Source organism: Homo sapiens, chromosome 3 (assembly GCF_000001405.40).
Source record: "Homo sapiens chromosome 3, GRCh38.p14 Primary Assembly".
In the NCBI taxonomy this organism is placed as follows: Eukaryota; Metazoa; Chordata; class Mammalia; order Primates; family Hominidae; genus Homo; species Homo sapiens.
This window is the reverse complement of record NC_000003.12, coordinates 48,351,524-48,362,149: the sequence shown is the minus strand read 5'-3', so window position 1 is coordinate 48,362,149 and position 10,626 is coordinate 48,351,524. Positions and strand designations below refer to the sequence as shown.

At 43.3% G+C, this 10,626-nt stretch overlaps 1 annotated feature.

Annotated features, from left to right (window-relative positions):
- Window positions 3,535–4,035: an enhancer, noted in NCBI's record as "H3K4me1 hESC enhancer chr3:48399605-48400105 (GRCh37/hg19 assembly coordinates)". NCBI's record gives its function as "activates a minimal SCP1, AML or CMV promoter by ChIP-STARR-seq in primed H9 embryonic stem cells {active_cell/tissue: H9 hESC(primed)}" and the evidence as "EXISTENCE:reporter gene assay evidence [ECO:0000049][PMID:30033119]".

The window sequence follows — 10,626 nt, the reverse complement described above, 5'->3', positions numbered from 1 at the left end:
AAAATACACTGTGCCAGGTCTTTTAATTGATATATTTGTACCATTTACATTTAGTGGAATTATTGATATTTTAGGTCTTAACACTGTCATTTTATTTATTTTAAAATTTTCTATGTGTCCTTTTTCATTTCTTTGTCCTCTTTTCCTTGCCTTCCTGTGGGTTACATGAATATTTTTTAGAATTCTAAATTTTTGATTTTTCTATAATGTTTTTGAGTGTATTTCTTTATATAGATTTTTAAATGATAGCCCTATGTATTACATTATATGTATATAATGTATCACAGTCTACTGAAGCCCACATTTTATAAGTTTGAATGATGTTTAGAGACTGTATGTCCCTTTAAGTCTATTTACTCTCTCCTATTTATAATTGTCTTAAATATTTCCTGTGTACCCATCTAGAACAATATCAATGTTATAATTTTTGCTTCATCTGTTCAAAGAGAAGAAAAATATATTTACCCATAATTTTGCTCTTTCTGCTATTATTTCTTCCTTCCTGATGTTCCAAGATTCCTTCTTTTTGTATTTTCTATCTCAAGAACTTCCTTTAGCCATTCTTTTAGCGTAGGTCAATTGATGAAAAAAAAACCTTAGTTTTCCTTTATCTGAGAATGTCTTGATTTCTCTTTCATTCTTGAAGGATATTTTAACTGGATATAGGATTCTGGGTTAACAGTTCTTTTCTTTCAGCACTTAAAATGTTGTGACACTTCATTCTGGTCTCCATGGTTTCTGATGATAAGTCTGTTGTATATTAAAATTGTTGCAGGTTGTCTCTTCTCTCTCTGCTTTTAAGATTTCTTTCATTGTCTTTAGTTTTTAGAAGTTTGATTATAATGTGTCTTGGCATGAGTTTCTTTGCGTTTATCCTGTTTGGGGTTTTCTCAGCTTCTTTAATGTGTAGGTTTACATCTTTTGCTAAATTTGGGAAAATTTCAGCCATGATTTTTTTGAATACATTTTCAGCCTCATCTTCTTTCTCCTCTCCTTCTTGGAATCCAGTGATACAAATATTAGATATTTTGTTATAGTCCCAGAAGTCCTTGAAACTCTGATTTTTTTTCCAGTCTATTGTCTATCATTGACTGGATTATTTCTATTGTTTTCTATGTAAGGTCACTGGGTTCTTTTTTTTTTTTTTTTTTTTTTTAAAGAAAACAAGGTTTAATGGACTCACAGTTCTACATGGCTGGGGAGGCCTCACAATCATGGCAGAAGACGAATGAGAGCAAAGGGACATCTTAGATTGCGGCAGGCAAAAGAGAGCTTGTGTAGGGGACCTCCCCTTTATAAAACCATCAGATCACATGAGACTCATTCACTATGCCAAGAACAGCATGGGAAAGACCCGGCCTCAGGATTCAATTACCTAAGGTCACTGGTTCTTTCCTGTGTCTTTCCCATTTTGTTGTAAGCCCACAGAGTTTTAAAAATTGGTTGTTTTATTTTTCACTTCTAAAATTTCCATTTTGTTCTTTATAGCTTCTTTTATGTTGCTGGAACTTTCTATTTTTCATTTGCTTCAAATGTGCTTGCAGTTGCTTGTTGAAGTATCTTCATGATGGCTGCTTTAAGATCCGTGTCAGATAATTTTAACATCTCTGTTATCCCAGTGTCGAAGTATTTTGATTGTCTTTTATAATTCAAGTTGAGAGTTTTTTGGATCTTTGTGTGATTTTTGATGGAAACCTGAATATTTGGGGTATTATGTGATTAGACTCAGGATTTTATTTAAATCTTCTGTTTTAGCTAGCCTCCTCTGACACTAGCTTGGCAGGAACGAGGGCAGGAGAGCATTGCTGATGCATTCCTGCCTCTTTTCTTCCTTGTTACTCCCAAGTGGGTGTAAAAATCCAGGTTTCCCACTTGTTCCTCCTTTAAATTAATTAATTAATTTTTAATGTTGGCAAATAAAAATTATATATTGTGTATATTTATGGGGTACAACATGATATTTTGATATATGTATACATTGCAGAATGGCTAAATTAAGCTAATTAACATACATATTACCTCACATAATCAATTTTTTTGTGGTGAGAGCACCTGCAATCTACTCTTTTAGCAATTTTCAAGTATATAAAACATTGTTATTAACTATGGTCACCTCATTGTACAATATGTTTTTTGAACTTATTCCTCCTAAGTATAATTTTGTACTCTTTGACCAACATCTCCCCAGACCCCTCAATGCCCACCCTCTGGTAACCAACATTCTACTCTTTGCTTTTCAACTTTTATAGATTCCATATGAAGTAGGATCATGCTGTATTTGTCTTTGTGCCTGGCTTATTTCCTTTACATACTGTTCTCTAGGTGGATCCATATTGTTGCAAATGACAGGATTTCCTTCTTTTTAAAGGCTGAATAGCATTCCCTTTTCCTTATCCATTCAGCTGCTGATGGACCCTGTGGTTGTTTCCATATCTCGGCTATTGTGAATAATGCTGCAGTGAATATAGGAGTGCAGATATCTCTTGGACATAATTGAATTCAATTCCTTTGGATATATACTCAGAAATGAGACTGCTGCATCTATGGTAGTCTTGTTTTCAATTTATTGAGGAACTTCTATACTGTTTTCCATAATAGCTGTACCAATTTACACTCCCACCAGCAGTGTACAAGGGTTCATTTTTCTCCATATCCTCATCAATACTTTCTATTTTTTGTCTTTTTAATAATCAAATAGCCATCCTCACAGGTGTGGATTTAATTTAATCTCATTGTGGCTTTAATTTGCATTTCCCTGATGGTTATTGATGTTGAGCATTTTTTCCATATACCTCATGGCCGTTTGTATGTCTTCTTTGGAAAAATATCTATTCAGGTCTTGTGCCCATACTTAAATCAGGTTATTTGTTTTCTCACTAGTGAGTTGTTTGAGTACCTTGTATATTTTTGATATTAACCATTTAGATGTGTCATTTGCAAATACTTTCTCCTATTCCATAGGTTGTCTCTTCACTCTATTGATTGATTTCTTTGCTCTGCAGAAGGTTTTTAGTTTGAGGCAATCCCATTGGTCTATTTTTGCTTCGTTGCCTGTGCTTTTGGGGTCATAGTCAAAAAAAATCATTGCCCAGACCAATGTCATGGAGGGTCCCCCAATTCTCTTCTCTTATAGTTTTACAGTTTTAAATCTTACATTTAAATCTTTAATCCATTTTGAGTTGATTTTTGTATATTGTATGAGATGAGGGTATGATTTTGTTCTTCTGTCTGTACGTATCCAGTTTTCCCAACACTCCACTCAACCTCATATGACACACACATGTCAGGATGGGGGTGCAGTTACTTGTTACTGCTCCCCATTGACAATGTGGAGCAGAATACATGTTTGTTACTGTTTGGCAGTGATCAAAGTTCTGCTTTCCGTTAGGTGTCTTCTGACACCACCCCAATAGGGATGAGGAGGGGTGTCTTACTACCACCAGATAGGGGTGAAAATCCAGAACCCCCATGTGGTTTCCAGTAATACCATGGGAGGGGAGGTCTTGTTACTGCTGGGCAGGGATAAAAATTTCTGGTTCTTCACTCACCCTTCTGTGACATCCTCTTTGGAAGAGCACCTTTTTTCACCTTGGTGAAGGTGGAAGTCTAGGTTCCCCATTAAATTTTTGCTGGTATGGGTAGGGATGGGGCCACAGCTTTTTTTCTATAGTGCTTGGCTGGAGTAGAGCTGTTATTGTGTAAATGTTTACTGTCTTGGTAGAGATGGTAGCAGTGGTCCATCTAGAGTGGCTACTGCCAAGACACTGGCTGCAGCAGGGAGGTGGGCTCGGGCCTCTAATTCCACAGAGCAGGCAGGAGCTCTGTCCCCCCATCCCCTACAGGGCTTCCAGCTCCACGGAGCAGGCAGTAGCTCTGCCCTTCCAGGCACAGGTGCAGCAGCCCAAACCGCACTGCAGACCTAGGCCTCCCACTCCATGGAGCAGGCAGGAGCCCCATCCTCCCAGATGGGGCTTCAGCTGTCTAAGTCATGGCTGCTGCTGCCCAAGTCGTGGCTGCTGATCAAGCCTCCCTGTGGTCTTGCAGGTCTGGAAGCAGGCAGGAGGCCTGCTCTCCTGGGTGCAGCTGTAGCCGCTCAAACCCTGGCTGCAGACTCAGGCATTCTTGCACTCTTGGGGGCCCAGGAAGGCCCCCCTGCCCTCACAGGCTCAGAAATGCCTGCTCCCACTGCCTGGTCTCTTCCTGCTCCCAGCACCAGCTCTGATCTTAGAGCAAAGTCAGGGCCAAGCCTAGGTGCCATGAATGGTAGCAAGAGGCAGATAGATTCCTGGGTGGAAGGGGGCAGGTTCCTAGGGAGGGCCTGAAGGGTGGAGGCTGAGCTGCCAGTCCCACCAACCGGAGTGGGAAACTGGTGCCTTTTCTGGGCCTGCCCATGGCCACCCATGGACCAACTGGTGTGCACTTCTTCCCCTCTGAGGCCCATAAAAGCCCTGGGCTCAGCCAGAGCTGAGGAGATGACAGGATGACCAGCTGCAGAGAGGAGCTACCCTCTTTGCTGAGAATTTCAGAGACCTGTAGAGACATCAGGATTACCAGCTGCAGAGAGGAGCAACCCACTCCAGTGCCTCCTCTTGGCTAGGAGCTGGGCAGGCATCAGGATGACTAGCTGCAGATTGGAGCTACCCTCTTCAAGACCTCCTCTCTGCTGAGAGCTGCAGATGACAGGACAAACTGCCAGCAGAGAGGAGCCACCCATACCAGGGCCTCCTTTCTGCAGACAGCTGAACACTTGATGGGACAATCTGCCTGCAGAGAGGAGGTACCCACTGTGGGTCTCCTCTGAGCTGTTCTAACACTCAATAAAGCTCCTCTTTGTCTTGGTCACCCTCCACTTGTCTGCATAACTCATTCTTCCTGGATGCAGGACAGGAACCCAGGCAAAGGCATCACTGGCTGCAGAAGTTTCCAGCCAGAAAAGCAACACCCCAAAGATCCTGTAACACTAGGCTGCCCCTTTCTTAGTTACTTGGTTGAGGGAGGCTTTTCCAGGAGCTTTTTTTCTGTGTGCCTGTTGGTGTTTTGGGGTTGCCAGCTTCTCCAGCACATGATCCAGAAAATATGAAGCAAAAAGAAAATCCAGGGAACTCACAGCTGTGTTTTTCCTCAGGTCCTGAGGTCACGAGCTGGCCTTACTTCTTCTTCCCACCTTTCAGAGTTGTCTTTTATTTGTTTTATAAACAATGTTCAGAGTTACAGCAGGAGTATAGGGCTAAGTGTCTCTTCTCCATCTTGTCCCTACAGTTAATTTTAATAGTTGATGTTTAGAGAGGTGAACATTCAGTTCCCTGAGTGCTATAGACATTGAGATTTACAAATTCACTTTCTATGCACCTGAGAAACAAAAGCAGAAGCAAGTCCCCTATTCTCTCAAAACTTCAGTTTCCTCAGAGTCTCCTGTGCCTCCAAACTGCATCCCTCTGGTCACAAGTTCAGCTCTGTAATTCATCATCTATTCAGCAAATATTTAATGTGTACCTACTCTTTGTAGTTCCTTATATAAGCCCTGGGGCTCACCAGAGAAAGAATTCAGGCTTCACTTTTCCTGTTCTGTCTGACTAGCTCAGAAGATTCCAAGGCAGCAAAAGAGCACAGGTAAGGCTAGGTTGGCAAGCTCTAGGAAGGCGAGGTGGTTTCTCTACCCATCCCTATTGAGTTCCCAGCCTCTTGCAGTTTCCTCTGACCAGTCCACAGACCTGGCCCAGTGCCTGGCACATAGTAGGTATTTAGTTAATATTTGCTGAATGTGTAACTCATTGAGTGGATGAATGAATATCTATATGAGAAAGAAAAGTTTGGAAAGATGAAGAAGAAATAAAAGGACAAACAGAGACTATGAAAGACAAAAAGAATGGCAGAGACAGAAACTTGGAAGCAAGACAGCAAGACAAAGTGATCCAGGAGCCTGACCCAGGCTCCTCTGCTCTCTGTTCTCAGTTGTAGGGATCTAGGCAGAGTGGGAAGAAAATTCTGTTCCACCAAAGTGCAGTTGGTTGGTTTTGAAGCCACCAGAGAATCCTGAGCATCTCTGCCCCAAGATTCTTGGAGGAGACCTATCCATCCTGAGTGTCAGGAAGAAGGACCACACAAGTACTTGCCTGGGCCTGGCTGAGGGTCCCACCCCTGTTCATTGTACCACAGTGGCACCTATGAACTACCACCCTTAGTATTCATGGAAGGCCAATGAAGGGGACAATGACAGTAGAATGGAAATTTGCATGGGTGGGCAGTGGCAGGCCACCTACAACTCAGGCCAGCCTGTAGGGCCATCTGTGGGTATCAGGAAGGCATGGAGACCCAGGGCTAACAAGGAGCCCTGCCTCTACCCTGTCATGTCCTGGGGAGGCCACACAACCTGAGAGTCTCCTCCTCATCCATGTGAGGAATCTGGGGCTGTTTCATGCCAGAAGGGGTCTTAGCAGGTCCACAGCCAGCAAACTTAGGCCATGAGTGTCACTACTTCCCTCCTTCTCTCTCTCCAAACCCCACCCCAAGGACCATGACTTGGTCCTTGTACTCTGTCTTAATGAGCCCTGAGCCACCCCCACGGTCTTCCTCCACCCTGCTCTCTGCCTGGGCATGGGATGAAAGTGTTCTCCCATAATGAACTTCAATTCACAGGATGGGCATGGATCTCCCAAGACCACACAGGAGCCAGAGGAGACAATGTAAAGGGCAGGCCCAATGGGCAGAAATGAGAGCATCTGGAAATGTGGAATGGGAGAGAAGTATGGACAGGAGGTCTTGAAAGCTGCACTGCCAAGTGGAGTCATGAGGGTCCTGAGCAGTAAATAAAATCACGTGGCCAGAGGGTTTGGGAGGGCCCTGAAATGATCCTGTGGGACACAGGGTTGCTGTGGACCAAGGCAAGAGCATTGGGAATGGAGAGTGGGGTTGGGACCAAGAGTCTCAGCAGAGAGGGAAAGGGATCTATAGGTTCCAGTGCTTTCATGCAGGATATGGGGGCCACAGAGAGTTCCATGGACAGAGGTGTCTAGGCTGGGCAGATAGAAGGCAAGGTGATGAGACATTCTTGAAGACCAGGAACCCAGCAGAAAACATGAGTCTGTTGGGAGAGGAGGACATCGCTTTGCGTGCATTGAATTTAGAAGCTGCATGAAGGGCTGTGAAAATGGAACTTCATGTGCTCATTGAATAATCTTGTGTTTGGCGGCCTCAGGTGCACTCAGAAGGTATATGGCTAGAACAGATCTTCACAGATTCAGAGCCATTGTCTTGGGTGAGGTGATAGGCACATGGGAAGGAGATGACTCGCATGGCATCTGCCATGCACACTGGGGCACTTGATACAAACCCAGGCAGTAAGGGAAGCACTAGAGCCATGGTGGGCTGACAGCAGAACTGGGGGCCAGGCACAGTGGCTCATGCCTGTAAGCCTGTAATCCCAGCACTTTGGGAGGCGAGGCGGGCGGATCATGAGGTTAGGAGTTCGAGACCAGCCTGGCCAATATGGTGAAACCCCATCTCTACTAAAAATACAAAGAGTAGCTGGGTGTGGTGGCGCACGCCTGTAGTCCCAGCTACTTGGGAGGCTGAGGCAGGAGAATCGCTTGAACCCAGGAGGCGGAGGTTGCAGGGAGCTGAGATTGAGCCACTGCACTACAGCCTGGGCAACAGAGCGAGACTCCGTCTCAAAAAAAAAAAAAAAAAAAAAAGTAGAACTGTGGGCCCATGGTGGGGCCAGAGTTTTCCCTGGACCTGCACAAAGAAAGATAACTCATCACTCATGACTTGTTCCTTTCTTCACCCACCAGATGCCCAGAAACTTTAACATACTTTGGACACTTCCTACCTTACTGCCATTGTTCCAAGTATTAAATCCTCAAAGTTACCAATGAAGTCATTTCTATTCTGTTTCCCTCCTAAAAGAAAACACTAAGGCCCAGAGAACTGCGACACACTGAATATTCAACTTCCCATCTTGCTGGCACATGTTGAACAGGCCCTGTAGCTCCTTTGCGGTATAATTCCCCTCCTCCCTGAATATGGCCAGTATTTCTCTGGTGGAGAATATTGTGAATTAACCTAGTTAAACCTATGGTTGTGTAATGACACCGTATTTGACGTATAGAACAGTTCCATTTCCCACCTCTCCTCCCAATTCCCCTGAACTCTTCTGTGGTGGCTTTTGATAAATTGAAGTTCTTTAATGAAATCCAATATATCAATTTTGTTCTTTAATGGACTGTGTTTCCTTTTGCAGATATATTTGCCCACCACAAAATCACTTATTGCTTGAATCTTTATTCTTTTCACATTTCACATGTAAACATGTGATTACTGTGAATTACTTTTTCCATAGGGATAGCCAATGGACATGCACCATGTGTTGAAAAGGCCATTCTTTTTTTTTTTCTTTTCTCATCCTGTGACTCTCAAGACCATTCTTTATTATATTTCTCTGACCTCTTTGCTTAAAATCAAGTGATTGTATATATGTTGATCTGTTTCTGGATTCTCCATTATGCTCCACTGATCTATGTAAGTGATTAATTTATTCACTTCTTTATCAAGACTGGGGTAAAATCATGTTAATCAGACAAGGCACTGAGATGACAGGAGATCAATTTGCAGCATTTTAAGATTGCACTTTTTTTTTTTTTTTTGAGACAGAGTCTCGCTATGTCACCCAGACTGGACTGCAGTAGTGCGATCTCGCTCACTGCAACCTCCGCCTCCTGGGTTCAAGCAATTCTCCTGCCTCAGCCTCCTGAGTAGCTGGGATTACAGGTGCCTGCCACCATGCCCAGCTAATTTTTAGCAGAGATGAGGTTTCACCATATTGGTCAGGCTGGTCTCGAACTCCTGACCTCAAGGGATCCACACGCCTCGGCTTCCCAAAGTGCTGAGATTACAGGCGTGAACCGCCATGCCCAGCCAAGATTGAGCTACATTTAAGATCTACTTCTGGATCGCCTTGATGTTACCTTAGGTGTGGACCTTGAGGTCACCCAGCCCAAAGTGTAGTGTATTTACTAAGGGGGCCCTTGACTTGGTTGGGCCTTGAAATTCAGTGTTTTCCTCTTTAGCCCTGAGAAACCAGGACATATGTTAGGGGATTTCTGCCCAACTTCTTATTCCCCTACTCAATGCAGTCCAAGAATCTGACAAATGCCTGAAGTGGAAGGAGAAACCAGGTGTTAGGGTCTCATCCTTCTACCTCCTTTCCCTGGGATATTGGCCATCCAAATCCTGACTGCTTGCCATCACACATTCCAATTTTGTCACTTCGTTTTGTTCACCTCTTGGTCTCTTAGCAGCAGCTCTACCTAGACCTCCCTGTGCCCGGGTTTTCAGGCTCCTTCGTGCTATTAACAGCCAAATGCCCACAGGCAAAAATCAGATAACGAATTCTGGCTCACCATGCCAGTTCACTTCCTTTTGCCATCTGCGCACTCAAATCCATGTTGCCTGGGCAGCTCTCTGAAGGTTTCATACAGATTAATTTTTTTAAATCTTATTTCCTTCTTAATCTGTTTTTCATGGGAGCACGAGTTTTCCACAAATCACTCCAACAGCCAGAAAAGGAAGTCTGGATCCCTGGTTTCAATGAGGTCTATATACTGATGACTCCCATATCTGTATACCCTTCCCTCCCTCACACTATATGTGAGTTAAAAACTGTATAACTGTTTGTCTTCTTAGCATCCGTACTTTTGTGTTTAAAAGGCAGCTGAGATTTTGCATGTTTGAAACAGAATTATCTCCGCTCCCACAAACACACATTCTCCCTGTGTTCCCACTCACAGTAAAGGCCACTAACATTTATTCCCTTGTTCAGGCCAGAAATCTCAGTGTTTTTCTGGATTTCTCTTTGCTAATGAGACTAACTGCCCTCATCTTCTCTGTAGTCCTTCATCACCCCCTTCACGGCTCAGCTAAAACACCATCGCCACATAAAGCTCTTCCTAAAATAACACTTCTCATCCAGCTTTGTCCTTCATGCTACTTTATTTGTCATTACCCTCAACAGCCCCTGTAATTAGATTTTAAATAAATTATTAAGTAAATTTATTTATTTATTTGCTTATTGTCTGTTTCCTTCTATGGAATAAAATTTCTTTGATGAAAGGAATATGCCCCTCTGATTCACTTCTGAATAAGCATAGTCCAGGCTTGTTTCTGGTGCATGTGATTTAATTATAACCTGATGAATGACGGGATGGATGAATAAATTCTAAGCTGATGAGAATTACGAGTTCTCTAAACATGGTTACTAGCAACTATGGCTAACACAGAAGAGCTCTTGCTTGATGTAAAGGCAAACACAAATTTAAAATGAGGCTTACTTCTGGTTGAAAATAAGGGAAGAGATTTCCCTCCCTTCCCTTTTCTTAGAGCATTTACTTTAGAAAATTTGTCACTGTAAGTTCTTTTTCTATCTTGAAATGCGTGTCAGCTGAGTACAGTGGCTCATGCCTATAATCCCAGCACTTTGAGAGACTGAGGCAGGTGGATCACTTGAGCCCAGAAGTTTGAGACCAGCCTGGGCAACAGGGAGACTCCATCTCTACAAAAAATACAAAAATTAGCTGGGTGTGGTGGTGCACACCTGTAGTCTCAGCTACTCAGGAGGCTCAGGCAGAAGGA